Genomic DNA, 24,700 nt, shown 5'->3' with positions numbered 1-24,700 from the left:
AAGCTCCTCAAAAGAAAGGTGCTAGACAAATTCAAAATATTGCTATGAATAATACAGTAATTAAAAATAATACAGCTTTCTTTGACCTACTCATCTAAAATAAATTAGCTCCTTTTGAATATTATATTCAAAGATATATTTCTCAATCTACATTTCTGCCACTCAGTCATTATCAGCAATTTTATGTGGGTCTTCTAGATATGAACTTTTGTGGCTTCATTATTTTCTATGATTGATAAGTTGCTTTTCCTATAACAGTGCCATTTAGTGAAAGCAAATTTGTGTCCCCGTTTATTTCCAAATGCCTCAAGTTAACAGCTCAGATGCTTAACAAAATCCATGATTGTCAACACTCATTACAGAAAGTCTTGTTTCTCCTGTTCCCTTCCACCATGGATAGGAAGTGTTTGAACACCTGCCTCATCCTACCCCTCGAGATTATAAGCTACTAGAAGGTAGAGCTGAGACCTGCTGTCTTTGTATCTCTCATAAGACCTCGGGCTAAAATTGCAAGCACCACTGAAAGCTCACAGAACTTCAGGCACCCTAGGACTCCCCTAGACTCCAAAGAGCTCTGCCTTTTACTTGGCCAACCCAGACAGAAAACAACCCTGCCAGAGCTCCCTGCTGAGGAGAACTGATTTCCTTGTGGCTGTGCTGAGACCCCAAGTGCTCAGTCACACCTGGAGCACCAAGAAACCCTCCAGCTGTGAGTCATTCATTCAACTGGCTTTTTCTTTTTTTTTTTTATTTTAATTTTAATTTTTAGTTCTAGGGTACATGTGCAGGATGTGCAGGTTTGTTACACAGGGTAAACGGGTGCCATGGTGGTTTGCTGTGCCTTTCAACCCATCGCTTAGGTATTAAGCCTAGCGTACTTTAGCTATTTTTCCTAATGCTCTCCCTCCCCTCGCCTCACCTCCTGACAGGTGGGGTGTGTTGTTCCCCTCCCTGTGTCCATGTGTTCTCATTGTTCAGCTCCCAGTTATAAGTGAGAACATGCAGTGTTTGATTTTTCTGTTCCTGTGTTAGTTTGCTGAGGATAACGGCTTCCAGCTCCATCCATGTCCCTGCAAAGGACATAATATCGTTCCTTTTTGTGGCTGCATAGTATTCCATGGTGTACATTTACCACATTTTCTTTATCCAGTCTATCACTGATGGACATTTGGGTTGATTCCATGTCTTTGCAATTGTGAATAGTGCTTCTATGAACATACATGTGCATGTATCTTTGTAATAGAATGATTTATATTCCTTTGGGTATATACCCAGTGATGGGATTGCTGGGTCAAATGGTATTTCTGGTTCTATATATTTGAGGAATTGCCACACTGTCTTCCACAATAGTTGAAGTAATTTACATTCCCACCAGCAGTGTAAAAGCATTCTTACTTCTCCACAACCTTGCCAGCATCTGTTGTTTCTTGACTTTTCAATAATCACCATCTGACTGGCATGAGATGGTATCTCCTTGTGGTTTTGATTTGCATTTCTCTAGAGATCAGCGATGTTGAGCTTATTTTCATATGTTTGTTGGCTGCATGAATGTTTTCTTTTGAGAAGTGTCTGTTCATGTCCTTTGCCCACTTTTTAATGGGGTTGTTTGGTTTTTTTCTTGTAAATTTGTCTGAGTTCCTTGTAGATTCTGGATATTAGACCTTTGTTAGATGGATAGGTTACAATAATTTTCTTCCACTCTGTAGGTTGCCTCTTCAGTCTGATGATAGTCTCTTTTGCTGTGCAGAAGCTCTTTAGTTTAATTAGATCCCATTTGTCAATTTTTAGTTTTGTTGCAATTACTTTTGGGCTATTCATCTGCAGAAATGGCTGTCCATAGGCAGAAAATTCAAACTGGACCCCTTCCTCATACCTTATACAAAAATTAACTCAAGATGGATTAAAGACTTAAATGTAAAACCCAAAACTATAAAAACCGTAAAAGAAAATGTAGGCAATACCATTCAACTGGCTTTTTCTAAGCTGCTCAACAATAAAGAAGCACTCCCATACTGCCCCCAGCAGATGAGGTAGTGTCTGCAGCTTTCTTGTCACTTTGGAGGAAAGCCATTTTGGCTACAAAGGGTCTGTTTTATGCTAGGCTCCCACAGAAACAGGACAAGACTTCAAGTTTATTTGGGAGGTGATCCCAGAAAACACCAGTAAAGGAGGGCGGAAGTGAGTCAGGGAAGGAAAGGCAGCCAATAAATGGAGCCCAATCCTGTTAGAGAACTCCATGAGACTGGATGGACACATCTCGAAGTTTCCCCTGCCAAGGGATTAGGAAGCTGGGGAATTTCTCCACCAACTCACTTCAGTCATTGTTGAGGGCTGCTGGGGAGAAGGAGAGCATGGGGGAATTAACTCTCTGGCATTTTTGGCTTGAACCAGCAGCCAGAGAAAGCCTGTAGGCAAATTTCACAGGTGCTCATATTTAAAAGCCAGCAGGCCACTGGCTATGCCCAGGAATGCAGACAGCACAGAATGGTCACCGGGGATTCATAAACCCAAAGAACCTGAGAGACCAAGCCTTCTTACATTGCACAGAAGCTCCTTCCTGCCCTTATTCCTCAGAGGCCCAAGAGTCTAGAAGAGAACCTTCAGGGTGGATTTTCCCTCTCTCCATTGCTCCTACCACCATGACTACCTTTTCTTTCAGTGGGATGTTATTTGGGAGAAACTTCCCAGTCTAGTCAGTTGAGAGTCACCCATCAATACAAAACACAAAATGCTCAGACAAACCTCAGAGGCTGAGGTTCAGGAATGCTGCCACCTCACAGATCTCCTCACCCTCACTTCATTCATTCCTCCAGACATGAAGAAAGAAACGTAGACCTCCCACAAAACATTTACAGATCATTGTACATTAAGTACGAATTATATTTGAAAACCAGAAGTGATACTTTGTTTTTATCTCGCAATTTATTCTGAAAAAAAAGTAACGGATTTTTGTTCCAGAAGCTTTTTGATAGCCTTTGGCTACAAGCGCTGCAATCCTAACCTACCTGGGTTAAAGTGTCAGAAGCCAAAATTAAAATCTCATGTAAGTTCAAACTCTTTCCACTGAACTAACTCAGCAAATCCCTGTGGTGACAGGTCACTAAACATGTTTGAAGAAATATCCCAACAGAGCTTGGGGCAGGACAAAAAGGAAAGGAATTACAAATATGGTCCTCCGCTTTCTTCATTCCTGACCACCCTTACCCCACCCCTCCCCCATGCCCCACCAACCCTAGAAACTGTTCTGGGGAGGACCAAAGTGGAGAAAACTAACAGGCCCTGGAGAAGGGGCTTGACTGTGGAAAAATTAAATCAAAGAGATGATTGGCGGAATCCCTCTTCCTTCCTCCACATCAAGTCCTATATCCCTGGACAAGCAAAGTACAGCCCTTTAGAGTCTATCAATCAATCAACCAAAAATGATTTAATGATGGAAGCAGCCTGATATTCTGAACAGACTAAGGAAGGGGAAGCTAGGAGAGCTAGGTTCTTCCCTAGCCTCGTGCAAACTGAGGAAACATGAGTTTTGGACTCAGAAATGACAAGGGTGTTGGCATTGTCACTTACTTGCTCTGTGACCTTGGACAAGGTGCTTAGCCTCACCAAGCCTCAGTCTCCTCATCAGGAAAATGGGAACTCGTAATACCTCCATCACATATTTGTCACATAAAATATCTTCCACATGGCTGGCATACAGTGGTTGCTCAAGAGTTGCCTTCCCTTTTGTGGGAACCAGCACAATCAAGTGGAAAGAGCCCAGCTTTAGAAGCAGAGAGAGCTGGTTTCAAATCCCAATGGGGGCGCTCACTTTGAGCCACTAATGAACTTCCATGTGCATCATGCGTTAAAGAGTTATTAATCTGTTTTCCTTCTCACCCCACCCTTTTATTTCAAAACTTACAAAAATTAATTCAGTCGCCTTATATGTCCATGGACTAGCCATTCTGATAAAGTAAAGTGAAATAAATCCTTCAATCCATCCCAACTGGTTCTCCTTAGACAACTGGCTTATTTAGGGAAGCAAGTGCTTATAGTCAATTAGGGGGGCCAGCTATAAACTGATCCAGGCCATCTTCCCCCTCATTCATCCCAATGCCTGGAACTCCAGGGGCCAGAGACTGCCAACATAACAGCTGCCTCAAAGAGCTCTCTTTGGTGAGAGAGAAACTTAAAAGGATTTGTGGGAAATTTTACCTGGTGGTGTACTTTGACACCCTCTCCTTAGTAATCTCAAGAAAATTTCAGTAAAAACAAAGTTGATTTTCATGGATATTTTTGGAGTCAGATTAGTATTTTTTTCAGATGTAATATCATACTCTGATGGGTCCAGGGCCCACTTCATGAACACAAAACCTGTGCAGTCCCACCAAGCCCCACACTCAGAAAGACCCCAGGCTTGGTTTAATACTCTGCTGTCACCATCTTGAAATTCTTAATCATTTTATCTTTGAGGTTATGTTTTGTAGATGTCCAATGGGATTTCAATGGAGCATGAGCAGAGGAGATACACACTGTATGTGTGTCCACCATTTCTTGCCACCCCATTCAGATATAGCTTTTGTGATGCTCCATAAGCACAGAATTCCAATGGGCCCGCAATGCATGAGAGTTCACTGAGACCCACAGCAAGTACAAGGTAAGTGTGTTACACCCATGAGTAAATAAGTGTGATTGCTGACAGTCCTGAGAGATCATGTTTTCCATACAAACTAGAATTTGCTTTGAACACAGAAAGAAAGCAATGACATTCTCCGAAACACGAATGACCAAGGAACTCTATCATATACTTTCTTACTCATATTACTCCTCCATGTTAACCAACCACTTCCACAGAAAATGATAACATAGAAGGAAAGGAAAAGGTTGCCCTGTCTTTGCAAACCTTTTCCTTTCCTTTCAACTCTTCCTTACTCATCAGTAAGCTGAAGGTAGAGAGTGTTGGTAGAATGTGTGTACATCAAGAAGTAGAATAAAAATGGTTCTTTTCTGCAGCATTCCCACTGTTCTGATAAGAATGAAACACATACACACATACAAACTACAAAAGACAAATCGCGTATTTGATTATTCCACATATGACTTAAATACTCTTATATTTGCATTTAAAACTGTCATTGCACAGTACAAAAATGAATGGTAAAATTCATTCTAATAATTTAAGATTTTAATTTTTCTTCACTTAGAACTACATTAAATCACAGATAGAAAACACCATGAAAGTCCAAAGAGAGAGACCATGGACGAAAGGGAAAAGCTTTATATTTTAAAGCTTTTTTCACTGCTTTTTTAAACAGCATTTTTTCACTGCTTTTTGAACAAAGGACCTTGCCTTTTCATTTTGCACTGGGCCCCACAAATCATATAGCTGACACTGGATGGACCTTTTGGTGAGAGCTAGAAATGCCAGATTTATCGAGCTTATATGTACATAAAATAACCTGTGTATTCCTTATGCTTTCGCTGCCAAAGAAAAATTGATACTCAGATATACTGCTTGTGTCTGCCATTTCTAACCACGTCTGCCTCTCCTCAAGTTACATCCACCTTCTCCCTAAACTTAACATTGGTCTAACCATAACGTTACCCTTCTTGTCATTGTACCCCAATCCACCAGTGCAAAAATTGGGTCAGAATAGAGGGGTGTACTGAACCAAGACGTTCCTGAACCAGGTTCTGGGTATTTACCCACTCTGTCTTTATACTCTTAGGTTTGAAATCCAGCTAAATAGGAATAGGAAAGAAAGTGTTGCCTCTCCTACTCTTCCCCGGAGAAGAAGGAGAAAGGAGGAGGAGGAGGCTGGACACTGAGCACCTCCTTACTCTAACAAGCTCTAGACCTGTACATTTCGTGTATATGTCTTTTAACCTAGAAGAGGAACAGTTTCCAGCAGCCCTTTGCTGGCATCCTATGGTGCCAGTGTAAATATTGGAAAGAGGAAATTGCCTTTAGCTTCTTCTTTTAAAAAAATTCTGGTACTGTCTTCTCTGCAGTGGGAGCAGCTCTCCTGCTACAGCCCCTCAGCCCCGGAAAACGTTCGCCTGCTCCAAGCTCGTCTCCTCTCCCTCATTGGTCAAGAGCACCTCACAGCTGCTGAGCCGTCAGCTATCTGCAGTGGTGCTGAAATGACCGGAGATACTGACAGATGAGAGCCTCAGCAGCTTGGCAGTCTCACGTCCCCTTACCTCACTTGTCTCTAGCCGCAGCTTCCAAACCAGCACCATTTCAAGGGACATCGACACAACAGCCAAGTTCACTGGAGCTGGGGCTGCCGCAGTTGGGGTGGCTGGCTCTGCGGCTCAGATTGGGACTGTGTTTGGGAGCCTCATCATTGGTTATGCCAGGAACCCTTCTCTGAAGCAACAGCTCTTCTCCTACGCCACTCTGGGCTTTGCCCTCTGAGACGCCATGGGGTGCTTTTGCCTGATGGTGGCCTTTCTCATCCTCTCTGCCATGTGAAGGAGCCATCTCCACCTCCCATAGTTCTTTCTCCCACGTGTGGTCAGCCCTGTGTGTTCCTTTTCCTATACCTCCTCAGGCAGCCTGGGGAACGTGGTTGGCTCAGGTTTTGACAGAGAAAAGACAAACAAATACTGTATTAATAAGAAAAAAAATTCTGGTAAAATATACATAACAAAATTTATCATTTTTACCATTTTAATTGTACAGTTCTGTAGCATTAAATACATTCACATGGTTGCACAACCATCACCACTATCCATCTTTCAGCTTCTTAATTGCAGCTGGAACCTACCAGTGGCTGTTCCTCTGAAATGCCCAGCTTAGACTGCACTTTCAAATTAAGGAAGGAAAAAGAAAAATAACAAAGCCTGAAAAAATAGTTTGTAAAAGTGACTGAATCCATGTCAGAAAGACAGCCAACAAGAAGAAAATGTCACCAACACGAATTTGAGAAAGTGAGAAATAAAAGGGACTTCTGAGAGTATAGAGTCCAACCATCCTCTTTTACATATTGTCAAGTCCTCAAAAAACCTGCCAGGAGAACCTGTTACAGTACCATGCAAAGCAGTTGAGGGGTATCCTGATCAGACTCACTGCGGTAAGGAAGAACACCATCTTGACAGTCTTAGTAGTGTCTCAGAAGGGGTAAGTTGGAAGTATCTTTATAGAGTTTTAGGGCCTGAGCTGGGTGATTTTAAGGTGAGTTTTACAAGGTGCAAAACTAGGACTGGGCCGAGTTTACGACATACTAGCTTTGGATTGGTGGGCACAGGAAAGACTTGAACGAGTCTTTATGAGTAAGCTGTTAGTCTTCATAGGTGAGTTATTTTAGTTAGTTAACAGTCTTATCTTCTAGGAACTATTATTTCCTAGAGCAAGTAGCTTAAGTTATTTTTGTTTGTTCTCAGTATTTTTTAACATGGGAACAGGAACATATGCCTGGTCTCAGTATTGTTAAACACAGGAACGGAATTTATGTTGATTTCAGCTTTCAACATAAGGAAACCAAGGCAGAGAGGAGTTAAATAACTAGCTCAGAAGTGAGCAGCTGGTAACAGAGCTAAAGTTTAACCTAGAGCCCCTGACTACAAGTCCAGGGCTTGCTCACCACCCGCTACCCCATTACACACACACACACACACCAAACTGCCGGAATTACTTTCTCTTAAAATGAAAAACTTACAATATAATCACATCGCAGAAAATTTGGAATAAAGGATAGCTCAAATCCCATCACCATATCAACTGTATTTCCTTCCAGTTTTTCTTCATAAATAGTGATTTTGTTTTTGTTTTGATTCTGTAGTGTTCATTTACTTTCTCTCTACAATTTTTGTTTCTCCAAAGCTTTCTTGAGCAAAATGTGTGCTTTTTCCTGGCTCCCCTTTGTGCTTCTCCACCATCAAGGAAGAGTCTCTGCTTTTGTTGAAAAAGTTCCAGGCATTTCCAAACAGGCTGGGGACCACTAAGATTCTGCTAGAACTATCTAGTCTGAAAGAGCAGTTTTAACAGGCATAGGCCCCACAAAATTGTTCTTCCCACTGGCTCAGCTTGAGGGGCTCAAGACTCTTCAGGCAACTGACCACTGATACTGAGGCAATGTCATTTGGTTCTCAGTCATACCCACACTTCATAATATAGTTGTCCATCCCTCCATATCCACAGGGGATTGGTTCCAGCACTCCAAGAGAATACCAAAATCTGTGGATGCTCAAGTCTTCTACATAAAATGGTGCAATATTTGCATATAACTTACACACATCCTCCCATATAGTTTGAATTATCTCTAGATTACTTATAACACTTAATACATTATAAATGCTATGTAAATAATTGTTATACTATATTTTATTTGGATTTTTTTTACTGTTGTATTGTTATTGTCAACTGAAGAACCACAAGGTTTATAAATTTGGAAAGGAGAGCTGTATTTCTCATAAAGGGTTGCAGCCTGCAGGCTGGCCATGCCACAGGCTGGGATGCGTAGCTTCCAGTAAAAGCTGAGAGCAAACACTTTGAGGGAGGGAAGGATAAGAAAGGAATTTGTGCTGGATGGGTTGTGTAAGTATACATATTTAATAAGCTGTAGGAGGATTTATGAATATTTATGAAAGAAGCATGCATATATCCAATCGAATTTCATGCCTCTTCATGGGTCACATGTACAAAAAATGGTGTGTTAGCATGATCAGAGGGTGGAGTTCTCAGCCTTCTGATGTCAAAAGGTGAAGCAGAGGACGTGAAAACCCTCACTGTACGTCATTTGTAGACCGGCCGGAACCACTCCATGATCGGTGGCCTCTTATCAGGAAGGAATGCTGGTCAGTTGCTGTGTTGAAACCACAAACGGGAAGGAAAATCTGGTCACTGCCCCAGATACTTGGCTAAGGATGATAAAGGAATGAGTCGTCCATTTCTGATTTTCCACCACTGATTTCTGCTTACTCTTTAGGAAAGAATTTGGGTTAAAAATTAATAAGAAAAAGGCCTATTGAGGCATGTCTTACCTCCTATCCTTTCATGGCCAGGAACTCCACTTTTCAGGTTTCTCTGGGATTCCCCTTAGCCAAGAGGAGGTCTGTTCAGTCAGTTGGGGGTCTTAGGATTTTATTTTTATTTCTCATTATTTTTTTCAAATACTTTTGATCTGCAGTAGGTTGAATCTGCTGATATGGAACCATCAGGTACAGAGGACCTACTGTACTCTTTTTCATTTCTGTGTGCTTTTGCCTTATCTTTCTCCACTCCCTTCTCCCTGCTCTTTGCAGAGGCCTTCCAAACCCTTCCACACATTTTATCTCACTTCTTTGGTGATTCTCAGTCCAGTAATCAGCAAGCCCTTTGCTAAAATTATGATCACATTCCACAATGGGAGCATGTAAATGATAATTTATTCACAATATTCTCATTTTCAGTAAAGGGGTTCCTGAAAGGTTATAAGACAAATCACTATTAACCTAATCATATTGTGAAAGGAAAATAAATCTTGGGGCCCCAAAATCACTATGCTAAAGGGAAAAGTTAAGCTGGGAACTGGGAAAAACCTGTCTCCCATTTTATTATAAATGCATATCTAATTGCCTCCTTTGGAGAGGCTAATCAGAAGCTCAAAAGAATGCAACCATTTGTCTCTTGTCTACCTATGGCCAGGAAGCTCCCTCCCCACTTCGAGTTGTCCCCCGTTTTCTTCGAGTTGTCCCGCCCTTCCAGACCGAACCAATGTTCATCTTACATATGTTGATTGATGTCTCATGTCTCTCTAAAATGTATAAAAAAAAATTGTGCTCTGACCACCTTGGACATGTCGTCAGGACCTGCTGAGGCTGTGTCACAGGTGCACGTCCTCAACCTTGACAAAATAAACTTTCTAAATTAACTGAGACCTATCTCAGATATTCGGGTTTCACATTTTGGTAACGATGGAGGGATTCCGGGTGGAGGTACCCCTGACCTTTGACAAATCTGCTATCAGTGCTTGGTACCAGCATGAGCTAACTTTATGGCTCAAACCAATAGGACAATTTGCTGAGGTCTGGGAGCACTTACTCCAGAAAATCCCTGATCTCCCAAAATTTGATTGAAATCAAAAGTTTATTTTGCTGTATAACCCCTTTTTTTTGGATTTTTACTTGCTTCCAACAAGAAAGGCAAGCTTTTCAGCTTCCATAATGATGGAAGGCAGGTAACTCCTTTATGGAGTTTGAGCTTGCTCCCGGCAGGGAGGACGAGTTTGAGGTTTTTTTCCTGCTTCTAGGATGGTAGAAAGCAGCCTTTAGCCTGAGACCCATCCCTAGGTAAGTAGCAGAATTGGGGTTTTGTCTTGGCTAAAGTTTAACAACCAGCTGGTCTTAATTTCCCCTTACCATTACAGCGCTCAGTGATCATATTGTTGGGGGTATTTTTATTGTTTGTTCCGGTCTTTCTCCCATCAGATTTGACTAACTCTACCTGACTTGGTCAAATCCGAGTGAGAATTCCAAATTATGAGTAACAAATCCTCTCTAATTTGGCTAAAACTCCTTGCAGCTGCAAAAGAGGGAAAAAAATGCACTTGGTTTCTGTATTTGCTTCCTGTCTTAAAAAACAACAAATGTTCTTTCGTTTACTTTTCTTCCACCCTATACCGCCTTCCCCGTTTGCCATCTGCAGTACCAAAAAATTTAGAGAAGGCTTCTAATGATTCGAACCCCTTTAAATGAATCAGAACAAATGCCCCACTCACCCCTTTGGGGGAGTTCTGCTTTCTTTGGAGTTTCAAGAGTCATGGGCAGATTCTTCTTAGGTCTAAAGTTCTGTTTTCCTGTATTGCATAACCCGACCTCTTTAGGGATACCAGAGATTACCTTGTACTGTGAGAGGATTTGAGTTTGGTGTGTGTAATAGCATACGAGAGCTACAAATTTAGGGGTGGCTGAGCACAGTTTACAGGAAGTGGTCTTGGCTGTTGTTTTTTTTCTTTTCTCCTAGGAAGTTGTTTAAGGATCTTAATTCTAGTTCGAAGATACATTCTAAAGGGTCTTCCCTATTGCTTTTTCTCCCCAAATTAATTTCATTTTGGCTTGTCTGTGTGCATTTGCATGAGGAACAGAACAGTTGTTTTCATCGGTAAATGAGAGACAGTTTTCTCAGCTCGGAAGAGAAAGGGCATTTTTCTCCTCCCAGCCAAAAGGTGCCCCTGGGTGACCAGGGACCTCATGGGAGTGTCTGGGGGGTTGACCCCCCTGTGACATGCAGCAGCCCTACAGGGAAATTCCCAACAAAAATTACTGTTTTAAAAAATAGCTCATCCAGGAAACGCATATAAGGGCTAATCAGCTGGCATTCTGAGCCCTCTCAGAGGTCACAGACCTCGGGAGAGAGAAACTGAAACACGTAAAAGGGTGGAAACGACTCAGTGGTGATACACTGTGTTGTCCTGCCCACAAGCAGCAGACACAGATCCACCACACAAAAACCCTAGGTCATATCTCAGCTTCTCCTTTTAAGACAAAGTAGATAACAAATAATCTAAGAATGAGGAGAAAACAAGGAGAATGACCCCCCCTTTTGAGCACTCCATAGGTTTTATAGATGTAAAATGGAAAGAATATGGTCTATGTGCACATTTGCATTAAGGAAAAAGAATCTTAAGGTTGACCTTAAAACTACAGAGTTCTCAAGTTCTCTTTCTTTCTACTTTCTTTTCTGCATGCTTTAAATCTGCTGGTTTTTTTTAATTAAGATAAAAACCACTGTTTGGATCCAACAGGTTTTTTTGCAAAGTGGTGAATTTGTATTTATCTCATGGCTAAAGTTCTGAAGTAGAAGCTATAGGATCTTTGTATGTGTGTGTATATGTGTGTATATATATTTAAAAGGCCTTTATAATTTCTATCATTTTTATAATTTTAGTTGGCAATTAAATCAGTTTTAATTTCCCTCTAGCACATCATACTTTTTCTCTCCGTACCTTATGATGTAAATTTTGCTATTTGATTTTCACCTGAGTTGTTTCCTTTAATTTGCAAATTTAAGGCTATTTAGCTGACAACTGCCTAGGCTTGTGAAACAGGTTATCATCAATTTGAAAGTCTAAGATAGGAGAAAAAAGGGTCTTTATGACCCTATAAGATGTACTTCTATTGACATGCCTAATACATCTATGTATTTATGTGTTGTATACACAGTGTTTCACTACTGAAAATATATAAAAGAGCTCTAATTAATTGGCTTAAGAATATAAAAGTGCTTGAATCAAATACTTTATCAGGAAAAAAAGAAAAGACTAGTCAAATGCTTTTTCATGTTTACGTAACAAGTAAAATCTTTAATAAATAAGCTAGCTTTAAAATTATTGCTAAAGTAATATTAGAAATGTCTTAAGAATTGCCAGTATACATTTTTGTTTGCATTTATTAATCAAGCAATTTCACACTTATTCCTGACAAATACTATAAGGTTTCAAAATTTGGCATAGGGTTATAAAACTATAAACCCAACCAAGACAGAATGATCTTTGCTTATGTAATTTTTAATAAATAAGACATTAATATAGGTTTCATGAAAATAGCTATATCTTGAATTTAGTAAGATAACCATAACTTCTAATCTTGTGATTTTAAGTGGTCTAGTCCATAGGCAGTAAGGTTTGTTTTGGCAAAGGACTATTGCTGTCTTTGTTTCAAAGCTAAACTATAAACTGAGTTCCTCCCAAAGTTAGTTTGGCCTATGCCCAGGAATGAAAAAGGACAGCTTGGAAGTTAGAAGCAAGATGGAGTGAGTTAGATCAGAGCTTTTTCACTGTCTCAGTTATAATTTTGCAACAGTGGTTCTGTAGCTTTAAATGATGACTATCGCAGTTTTCATAAATAATCTAGGCAAACAATTAAAATAAAATAATTAGGTAAATGTAATGGAATAAGTACTGGTAGACAAATTCATCATAATTTACAATCTAAAGTGTGGTAGACAAATGCATCATAATTTACAATCTAAAGTTATATTAAATAATAGATATTTCATTATTTGGGTATTTTCCAATAAAAATCTATTGTAGGAAAACATTCTTTCAAAAAAATGTTTTTTTTAAAAGGTGAACAATTTTTGTCTAATTCAAAGCTTATTTAAAGGTCATGTATAAAACAAGGTAAAGGGAACGAGGAAATAAGAAAGATGTAAATAAAGTTATAAAAACAAAGAGGTTTTTTGGTAAGAAAGCTTAAAGAGAAATAATTTTATATGAGAAAGAATCTTGTACGGTAAATTTAGTTCTAGAATAAAGTGACTGATTGTTTAAGAAAGAGGGATGTTCAGGACAAACCAGAAAGTTCAAGTGTGTCATGAACAGTCTGTTTAAATCACAATAGGAGGATTTATTTAAAAGAAACTTTTATATGATCAACTTGTCTGTAATTAAAGGGAAATTACAGGTGTTAAAAAAAACACTTATACACTAAATAATTGGTTAGAACAATGAAATTTTCATAAGGGATTGACTTACTCTTAATAAATTACAAGAGATTTTAATTTTTTTAACCCAAAGTTCAACTGTTAGTGCCTCTCACCGTTTTCAGTTTTTTCTCCCCTTTTAAAGGGCATGAAACAGTAATTCTCTCCAACTCATATTCAGCTCATATAAGTTTTTTTCCTCAAGTTCTGTTTGTTGCGGCCCTGATGCTAAAGAAGTTTTATTAAAGGTGTAAAGAAAATGTTTTCTACCAACATAATATTCTGTGTAGTACAGAAGGTCTTTTCTTTTGCCTTTTGGTAACTGGCCTAACAGATTTTACAGTTTATTGAAACAATTCCTACGCCATTATTATTAAGTTTTGGTTTGCTTAGGAAAAAAACGGAAATTAAAAAAATTTAATTAAGGTTATTACATTTATGTACCTTTCTGTATGTGCTTTTGAAGTACTTGTGACATTGAGTTACAGGGTTTTGACTCCTGGGTCTAAAAGGGACACCAAGTCCTGCTAAATCTTAAACACTGATAGCAATTAAAGCCTCATCTTCAGGCCTGGCAGAAGATGCCAGTCAAAATAAACGGCATTCCTCAGACACAGGGCCAGAAATTAAAGCTATTCAACTCCTCAAGACCCAGGGACTATTGCAGAAGAGGTGGGGTGTGTGAGATTGTAAGGGCTGATTTTGAGAGATAAAATAAGTTCAGTTTCTCTATAAATGAATCATTAATGTCAAAAGCACACTGATGCAAGACAAGCACATGGGCCTCTGTGTCAGATTAACAAGATTTTCTTGAAGGCTTAACCAACTCCTTAATAAAGCTTATAAAGTTTATGAAAGGCTTATGGAAGTTATATCTTATGGTCAAGATGAAATTTTTTTTTCAACATGGGAGTCTCACTCTGTGGCCCAGGCTGGAGTGCATTGGCGTGATGTCAGCTATCAAACTTTAGATCTGAATTAAAATTGAAGAATTTGAAAACGTTCCTGTAAAAATTCCTCTGCCTATACTGAGCCTTTCTCTGAGAGAGCTCCCCTGGAAGCTCCCAGGAAAATGAATGGGTTCCAGGAGCCCTTTCTTTGTCATTCATTAAGATAAAGCATTTGATAGTAAATGATACAGGAGGGGGTTTCCTAACCATTCTCTAGAAAACAAAATTTCTTCTGAGCAAAGGCCACTTCTTACTCATCCTTGAAGTCAAAACATTTATGGCAGTAACCAGCACACATTAGGTACTCAATACTTGTTTGCCCACCTTGTTAACTCTCACAAAGCAAGGCTTTGTCATAGCCCCCAGAAGAGAGCAGGTAGCCCTATTATGTACTGTCATACTCCTTACACACTTTTTTCAAGGACTATTTGTAATTACACGTGTGTATTTACTTAATGTCTACATTTCCTCACTAGACTCTAATCTCCCTTTGTGCATAAGATCAGCCTTGTGGGCACTCAATACATGTTTGTTGAATGAAAGTGAAAAGCTCAACAGATGTACCTTGACTCAGAGCTAAGCTCTTCTTTTGTCGATACCTTCCTGAATAAGATCCATACTTTCTCCCATAAGATTTGATAGCTTATAATGGCTACATCACTTGGTTAGTTTGATTTCTTCTTCGTAATTTGTTTAAAGCACCTGGTACTTTCCAGATAGATGCCTACTGAAAATGAACTGCTATTTCTTGCCTGTAAATGTCTGCAATTTCAAGCCAGATACAGAGATACAGAAGAGAAATCAATAGAAATTGACACTTGGTTGACCTGCCGACTCCTTTTTTTACCTTTATTCACAGTAGACAAGCAATATTTCAGAAATGATAAATGAGTTCCTGAAATACAAACTTCATAAATCAGCATTTTAAAAAAACTTGTACATGAGTGTTCATAGCAACTTTATTTACAATAGCAAAAAGGGGGAAACAACCTAAATGTCCATCAATGGATGAATGGATAAGCAAAGTGTAGCTCATCCATACAGTAGAATATTATCCACTTATAAAATGTAATAAAGCACTGATATATGGTACAACATGGGTGAACCTTGAAAACATTATGCTAAGTGAAATAAGTCAGACTCAAAGGGTCACATATTGTTTGATTCTTAAATCCATGGAGACAGAAAGCATATTTGTGGTTGCCAGGAGCTGGGGGTAGGCAGAAACAGGGATATGAATGTGGGGTTTCCATTTTCTGAATTGTACACTTTAAAATGGCTACAGTCATACATTTTATCACTGTGTATATGCATTTTACCTCGGTTTTTTAAAAAGCTAAATATAAAACTGGAATCAAAATTCACAGGCTCAGACAGAAAACCCACAAAGAAAAAAAAATCAGCAGCCTTTCTAGAAGGAAACTATTAGCCCGGGATTATCAATTCACATTTTCACATACTGGGTTTTGTTACTACTACTACTACTACTACTATTACTACTACTACTGTAACTGCCCAATGGGTTCACCTTGCCAGCTGCCTAGACAGAGCTGATTTATCAAGACAGGGGAATTGCAACGAAGAAAGAGTAATTCACACAGAGCCAGCTGTGCGGGAGACTGGAGTTTTATTATTATTCAAATCAGTCTTCCTGAGCATTCCAGGATCAGAGTTTTTAAGGATAATTTGGTGGATAGGGGCTCGAGAAGTGGGGAGTGCTGATTGGTCAGGTTAGAGATGGAATTATAGGGGAGTCAAAGTGAGTTTTTCTTGCTGTTTTTCTTGAGTTTTTTTGTTCCTGGGTGGGATGGCAGAACGCGTTGAGCCAGATAAAAGGCCCAGGTGGTGTCAGCTGATCCGTCGACTGTGGAGTCTGCAAAATATCTCAAGCACTGATCTTAGTTTTTACAAAATGATGTTATCCCCAGGAACAATTTGGGGAGGTTCAGATTCTTGCATCCAGACGCTGCATGGCCCCTAAACTGTAATTTCTAATCTTGTAGCCAATTTGTTAGTCCTGCAAAGTCAGACTATCCCCAGGCAAGAGGGGGGTTTATTTGGGGAAGGGCTGTTATCTTCTTTTTTCAAAGCTAAACCGTAAACTAAGTTCCTCCCAAAGTTCGGCCTACACCCAGGAATGAACAAGCCCAGCTCGGAGGTTAGAAGCAAGATGGAGCCAGTTAGGTCAGGATCTCTTTCACTGTCTCAGTTATAATTTTTGCAAAGGCAGTTTCACTACTACTACTGCCACACTATCACTTCTACACAACCAACACTAAGTTTCCCAAACAATTCAAGGAAAAAATTAACGAGATTAACTTGAGACTTGAAAGATCAATTCCTGTATTTAAATTAATTCTTCTAGATTTAAGAAGATAAAAAATTAAAATGGAAAATTTATAAAGGAATACATTTCCCTAAATATTTTTTTGGTATTTCTAAGCACACCAGTCAAAAGACAAAGAAGTCGCTCTGTGAGCCTGGGCAAGTCATTACCTACTCTGGCCCTCAGCCCTTTCATCTCTAAAATGAAAGGGTTAGATAAAAGAATTCTGCATTTCTAAGAAAACCTCCTAAGAATCAAGAAAAAGAAATTGTGTTTTTTCATGGCAACAATTCAGGGGTTTTTCAGGCTACCCAATTAGCTGGGTCCAACCATTTCTAATAAAGGAGGATTAGACCAAAAATAGCAAACTTGATAAGGGATATGCCCCTACAGGCCAGGCTGGTAATTAAATGAGTGAGGGAGGCTAGTTGGTGACAATAGAGTTGAAGAGCTAATGTCTCATCATAATGGGGCAGCCTCTTTTCAACTTCATTCAATGATTGCTACAAGGAAATGTGGGCCCAGTGATGCAAGAGCTTTATTTTTCAGGAAAAAAGAGAAAACCAGATTTTTACAATGAAATCTCCACATTTTGAAATCTTTGCATACAGTTTGAATTTTTCCCAAACCATTGTGCAGGCCAAACTAAAAATTTCTACCAGGCTGTATGTGGCCCAGGATCACCAATTTTCAACCTCTGATTAGAATATTTATTAACATACTTAGCTGGCATTGTTGATGGCAGAGCCACTGTGTGCACTGAAGGCTTCTCCAATAGCCCTCCATGAGACACAGTGTAATAAAGCTTAACTCACCCCATTTGCTAATTTATTTATTCGGCATGTATTTATTGAACACTTACTGTGCTCCAGACACTACCAATCATGTCACCAAACAAGGGTGAGTAAAAACTTGACACAGTTCCTGCCCTCATAGAATTTATAGTCTGGTGGGTTAGACAAACCTTAATCAAATAATCAAAGTAATAGGTGGGTCATTATAAGCTGTGCAAAGTGCCGTCAAGGAAAGGTACCCAGGGCTAGGAACATATTATATAACAAGTGGGGAGGAGGTCTAGTATGATCTAAATTAGGGCATCAAGGAAGACTTCCCTGAGCAAGTGGTACATAATCTGAGATTCAAACCATGAGTAGAAGTTAACTGGGCAGAGGAGTGGTGAGAGGGGATAATTCTGGGCAATCTGAAGCTGCAGAAGTCCTGTTGGAAGAGTGGGTTTTGTGGCGAAGGAGGAACAGAGAGAAGGTCTGAGCGGCTGCAGCATAAAGAAGGGAATGGAGGAAAGTGGGGAGGGGTTAGGCCGAAGAGGATAGGAATGACCAGCCCTTGCAGGGCCTTTAAGGCCAGATGAACATTATGGCTTTTGTTCTGTGAGCAATGGAAAACAATTCAAATTGCTTAAGAAGACAATAACATTATCCTATTTAGGCCTATTTAAGTTCACACTGGCTCTGAGTGGAAGACGCATTGAAGTAGAGGGCAGCTTGGGCTCAGATTCAGGTTAAGTTCATGATAGTGGTCAAGATGGGAGTTGTTGGTAACCAAGACTTGGGTGAAGAAATGAATGAGTTTAAGAAATATTTTAACAAGTAAAATCAATAAGAAATTAATGGATTTGATATGAAGAATTAAGAGAGAGGTGGTGGTCAAGACTGTTTTTCCACCTTCTGGCATGCATACATGGATGGCCGGTGGTGCCGCTTACCACAGAGGAAGTGTTGGAGGGAAGAGATCATGAATTCAGTTTTGCACATGCTGAGTTTGAGCTACTTTGGGGACAGTCAAGTGAACATGTTTAACAGACAGTTGGGTTTACAGGTCTGCTGCTCAGCAGAGAGGCATCTAGACTGGAGCTAGAAATGTATACATCATTAGCATATAGATAAAAACAGAAGTTATGAGTATCTACAGGGTCACTTAAGGAAAGAGCATAGAGTAAAAACAAAAGAAGGCCTAACATCTCCAATATGTAGTGGCCTAGTAGAGGAGGATGTGCTAGAAAAGAAGAATGAGCACGAGTAGTCAATGAGGTAATGAGAAAAATACAAGGAGCAGGGTCACAGAATCCAGGAAAGGAGAGCATTCTAAAGAGGGGGAATGGCTGACAGGCTTGGACACACCTGATACTGCAGGTAAGCTGAGACTAGAAGAATAGCCATTAACTCTAGCAACATGGAAGGCCCTGGTGACATAATGAACACAGTTTTCTTGCAGTGAAGGAGTTAAGAGCCAGATCAGAGAGAGCTGAGTGGATAAGAAGTGAAAAGGTAATGGCATTGAGAATGTGCAACTTTTTCTAGAAGTTTGATGTTGAAAGGCAGGCACAAGAGAGATGGAGCAGCAGCAGGAAAAGTGTGGAGTTGAGGAACAGGGCTTTTGACTTTGGTTGGGTTTTGTTTCCTAAGGAATTCCATGTTGAGCACAGCAGAATGTTCCACTCTGGGTTCTGTCCGTTTGACCTCTTACCCACAGCTCAGCTATCAGGAATGCAATCCTGATCAACACCCACACCTACTTCACACGAAGTTTGGCTCATGTTCAAAATACAGCGTGTGAAAGAAAGGTAAAACAGTTGTTTCTGTTCTGCCATCCCTTTCCCCTCTGATCTCCATATTTTTTTTTAATTATTGCTCATGTTACCTATCGCCTCCTTTCTATCCCAACAAACCTAATACATGCCCTCATTAATTCTTCCTTGGACTATTGTAATAGCATCCTAAAACATTATTGTGTCTTCAGTCTTGCAGCTCATCACTGCCAGAGTCGTCTTTGCAAAAGGCAGCTCTGATTACATTGCTTTCACCAAAAACCTTTAGTGGTTCCCTATTGCCCATGAAATCGACAACATTTGTAACCTGGCTCCTACTCTGGCCCACAGTCCGTCCTGCCTTCCTACTTGATATACTCCTCTCTATACACCCTGTGCTCTGGCCAAATTCTATTTGTAATTCCCTCACTGTGCCTTACATTTTGCCTCTCCACACCTTTACTCAGGCTGTTTCTTATTATCATACCTTTCCCTCATCTCTGCTATTGAAATCTTATCCATCTTCAGCTTAACCTAGCTGCCACCTCAAACAAGACACCTTCCCCACTACTCACCCTCCATTTCAAACCTAGCTACTCACTCTTTTCATTGAATAGTCCTAAGCAGTAATTTGGAAGAGGGGTGGTCACAGACTCACAGACACAGGACAGTGGGGATTTACACAGCATTTCCTGGTATTGTAAGCTTTTTGTTTTTTTTTTTTCAAATCCTTTACTGAATGCACTGAACTTCTGGAAGACTGGAACATGTCAAATTAATTTTTGGATCCACTGTGTTGCCCAGCCAGGGCCTAGCACAGGGCAGGCCCTCAGCAAATGTTTATTCACTGATGGATTAATGGAAGGAGGGCAATGGAATAGGGGAGAAAAGAAGGAATCCTAACACCAGGTCCTCAAGGCAAGGAGCAAACAGAAGAGTACATTAAAAATCCTCATGTGTGGGCCAGGCGCAGTGGCTCATACCTGTAATCCCAGCACTTTGGGAGGCCAAAGCGGGTGGATCACCTGAGATCAGGAGCTCGAGATCAGCCTGGCCAACATGACAAAACATCATCTCTACTAAAAATACAAAAAATTAGCCGGATGTGGTGGTGGGTGCCCGTAATCCCAGCTACTCCGGAGGCTGAGGCAGGAGAATCGCTTGAACCCGGGAGGCAGAGGTTGCAGTGAGCCGAGATCGCGCCATTGCACTCCAGCCAGGGTGACAGAGCAAAGCTCTATCTCAAAAAAAAAAAAAAACAAAAACAAAAACAAAAAACCTCGTGGCAATTCATTAAACCCACGGCAAACCCTCTCACTTCTGAAACCCTCTCCAGGCTCTCTTAGTAAATTTCTCCAAATATTTACAGTGTCCACAATACAATAAGATATCTCTTAGGCAGATTTAATAAACGTGATCCCACTCTTCTGGCTACAGTTAACAGCAAATAACTTAAATGCAAAGATTTTTCTAGGTAGAAAGGACATCCTGAGAAATGAGCTCTGATCCTCTGCCAAGCTCTATAAAGTCACTTAGTTTAAACGCTTTCTTCCCACAGCTCCTATAGTCCCCCAGGCCAGGGTCTTGAGTCCTCTCATTGGCATTGGGACAACAGCTTTACAACTGATTTATTTGTGTCTGGTATCCCTTCCCACCAAATCCATCCTTTACTTAGTATATAATTAATTCTTTCTTTTTAAAAAGTCATTTCCACTCCCCAGCCATCAGAATGGCAAAAATTGAAAAAAATTGACAATACCAAGTATTGACAAGGCTGTGGAGCAAACACAACTCTCCCCCATCCCATTGTTGGTGGGAGTATAAATTGATGCAACCATTTTGGAGAACTATTTGGCAGTAACTACTAAATCTAAATGTGTGCCTACCCTATGAACCAATGACCTCAATCCTAATTATATTCCCAAGAGAAACGAGTACACATGTTCACCAAAAGACGTGTGCAAAAATGCTCACAGACTTTTTAATTCATAATAGTCCACAACTGGAAACAACCCACATTTTCATTAACAAGAGACTGGATAAACAAATTGTAGTATATTCCTTCAATAGAATATCACTCAGCAATAAAAAGGAACAAACTACTTATCTCAAAAAAATTAAGCTGAGTGAAAGAAGCCAGTCATAAAAGAATACATACTGTATGATTCAATTTATATGAAGTTCAAAAACAGTTCAATAATGCCTCAACAGTGGTTAAGAGGTAAGGACGGGGCAATTATTGACTGGGAAACTTCATAAGGGGCCCTTCTTGGGTGATGAAAATATTCTATATCTGGGTGATGATTACATGGGTGTACATTTGTTAAAATTCATCAAACTGTACACTTAGAATTGCCCATCTTATTTTATGTAATTATACCTCAACTAAAAATAAACAATATAGTATTTGCCAGAATTTTTTTAAATCATTTCAACCTGTCTTTTTCCTGTTTCTGAATTCAATCCAGTTTCCAGACTTCTGCCTGGCTGTCAGGGTCCTCCATCACCTGTTTTTTTTGTTGTTGTTGTTGTTTTTCAGACGGAGTCTCACTCTGTCGCCCAGGCTGGAGTGCAGTGGTGCAATCTTGGCTCACTGCAACCTCTGCCTCCAGGGTTCAAGCAATTCTCCTACCTCAGCCTCCCGAGTAGCTGGGACTATAGGCACCCACCACCACGCACGGCTAATTTTTTGTATTTTTAGTAGAGACGGGGTTTCACCGTGTTAGCCAGGGTGGTCTCGAACTCCTGGCGTGATCCACCCGCCTCAGCCTCCCAAAGTGCTGGGATTACAGACGTGAGCCACCGAGCCCAGCCCCATCACCTGTTCTTACCTTCATCACCTGCTGCCACCTGATCAGTTCCATCAGTCTCCCTCTGCAACTTAACACCTAATCCATCATCACTATGATATTGCTTATGCCATTCCACCTCTCTGCTCTTCCCTCCCTCTTCCTTTTCTGTGAGCCAGGTCCTTCGGATCAAGTACTAAATTCACTTTCTACTGCACTTACTTACTTTACAGTGCTATTTACCTTATTTATCCTTCCTTTAGTGTTACTATATATATCCTGAATGACACTGCCTTACATTGGCTTGTATAAACCTTAAATTTAATTTCCAATTCACTTCCAATAAATTATAGAATTAATCTTTGTAATTTCCAACATATGACTTTTCTCTCTGTTCTGTTATAAATTTTAGAAGGCTGGGACTAAAGTTCTCCTATCTTCCAACTTCTGAGGGTCTAGCATAATGCCACATACTTAGTGAGTGCTCAAAATTACCCCTTGACCCCCAAAGTCAAATTAAAAATAATAAATACTAGAAAGGTGGAGTAGAGAAAAGCCCCTGTTTTAATGTTAAAATTGGTATATTTTTCTATTTGACATAGGCAAATCAATAAAATTCTTAGTAATCCCTATAGACTGTTTATTTTCTTATTATACATGCACATAATTCAGGAAGTCAAATAGTTCTACAAGACTTATTTTTAAAAATCAGTTGTCCTCAAACATACTTCTTTTCTCTTTAACTTTATTTATAATAAATAATCCAGCACCCTCTCCCTCAGGTGGGAGAACTCTGAGCCATGTTCTTCACTGTCTCCCAGAGGTCCCCAGTGGGGTTGAGCCCCTGTTGCTCACACTCATAACCTGCTCACTTTTCATTTCTTGTCTCCCTTCCCCTATTCCCCTACTAGTTCTAACCAGATCACTTCTCAAATATACTCCTTGCACTCAAGTCCTTGTCTCAAAGTCCACTTCCAGGGAAATCCAACCTAAGACCATGGGAGATGGTATCTCGATAAGGTAAAGGTGAAATATCTGTAAAGACGGGGTTAAGAAATGGGGAAAGGCAGAGAAAGGAGGGAAGAGTGAATGGAAAGAACCCAAACAAGAGTAGTTATGATAGAGATGCCTCCTTCTATGCTGAATGATTTTAGGTATATCCATGTGAGACCCTACTAGACCAGATTCTTCAGGGTCCAGAATTATTTTCATTAGCACCAAGCATGGCAACTTGTGTCAACCACTCTTGATAATGTTTTTTTTCTACTTTTAAAATTGTATCTAATAGTTCATGAACTCAAAACTCTCCCCATACTCACTTGTAGTCACCAATGATCCTTTGCAAGAAGATTTCTGACTTCATTCAGTACCCATTGCAAAAGACTCTAGAGATGAAAGGGTTGTACAAAGGTTAAGTATTGTTGCTTTAAACATCTTGGGGAAATGTCTTATTTAAGACATTACAAAAGAAAGGCTGAAAAAAAAGAAAACCAGGGAAGTGATACAGGAGAAAAACCCTGTCTTTACTAAAAAACAATGTGACCTTTCCTTTGTCCAAAATGACTTCAGGAAATCAGTATAATCTGGCAGGTGAACTTTCTAACAGTAATAAAGAAATCAATTTGTGCTTTAAGATACAGCAGAAGTTGCTGGTGAAATCAGAAAGCCCTCTAGGCATGGAATAATTTTCCCAATCCTTTGTAACAGTCAAGAAAGGAGAGCCTGAAATGTGGATTTATTTTCCCCCATAAAAAATCTACCTTTGGAAATACATTAAGAAATATCCTGGAGCCCATGGTCAGTGATACACTCTCTGTCTTACCATTGGTATTGTCTTATCTTTTGTTTTTCTGACATTGTTGGGGACCAAACTCACATAATCTGATATGAGACATAATTTCATACCCATTAATATTAGCTTTGCCAGAGATGGACAGAAAACCTATTTAAAAACACTTTAAAAAGGTGGAATTTTATTTTACCCTCCTATAAAATTCTGGAGATATACAGGCCAATGCTAATAAGGTAGCTCTCCTCACGAAGTCTTTAACAATACAAAATCCTTCCAATTCACTGCTCCTCTATCCTGAGGTTCTACTCTTTGTCTTCATGGTCCAAGATGACAGCATTTGGATTATAAGAAACAGGATAGACAAAATAATAGTTAAAAAAAAAAAAAAAGTTACATAATCCTTCTGCTTACATCCCATTGGCCAGAATATAGACACATGGTCATACTTAGCAGCAAGGGAGAATGGGAAATGTATTCATTATTTCGAACCATACATGCAAAGGTGAAAATCCTAATACTATGAAAAGAGAGAAAAGCTATTCAGAAAAAACTATCAATCATTACTCCAGCTTCTTTTCTGTCTTTCCTCCAATTCCATGTTCAACATTTTGAGGGAGTAGGTCCAGACAAAAGGTCATTTCCAGGCTGATCTTTACCTATGAATGTGACCTCCTTCTCCCGGGTCACACATTCTGATGCCATCACTCACCATGAGCCTGCCTCTTAAAAATGGCTTTAAGTGTTTAGAGTAATAGAGACAGGAGAACTCCTACAAAAAACAGAAACAAGTCTGGGAACTGATGCCAGAAGCACAACTTGATGTACTGCCTGCCTATCTATATGATACGCTCTCATACACACACACACACACACACACACACACATCCACACATTCATTTAGCAAATATTTG

General features: G+C 39.8%; 1 pseudogene, besides 1 other annotated feature; it reads left to right on the top strand.

Moving 5' to 3' along the window:
- On the top strand, positions 5,977–6,605 carry ATP5MC2P4 (ATP5MC2 pseudogene 4; annotated as a pseudogene).
- Positions 18,408–19,607: an enhancer, noted in NCBI's record as "MED14-independent group 3 enhancer chrX:41944854-41946053 (GRCh37/hg19 assembly coordinates)". NCBI's record gives its function as "activates an origin of replication core promoter dependent on BRD2, BRD4, P300/CBP and CDK7 cofactors, and independent of MED14, by STARR-seq in HCT116 cells {active_cell/tissue: HCT116}" and the evidence as "EXISTENCE:reporter gene assay evidence [ECO:0000049][PMID:35650434]".

This window comes from Homo sapiens, chromosome X (assembly GCF_000001405.40).
Source record: "Homo sapiens chromosome X, GRCh38.p14 Primary Assembly".
Taxonomy (NCBI): domain Eukaryota; kingdom Metazoa; phylum Chordata; class Mammalia; order Primates; family Hominidae; genus Homo; species Homo sapiens.
Note: the sequence above shows the minus strand (reverse complement) of the source record. Positions and strands in the feature narration are given on the sequence as shown.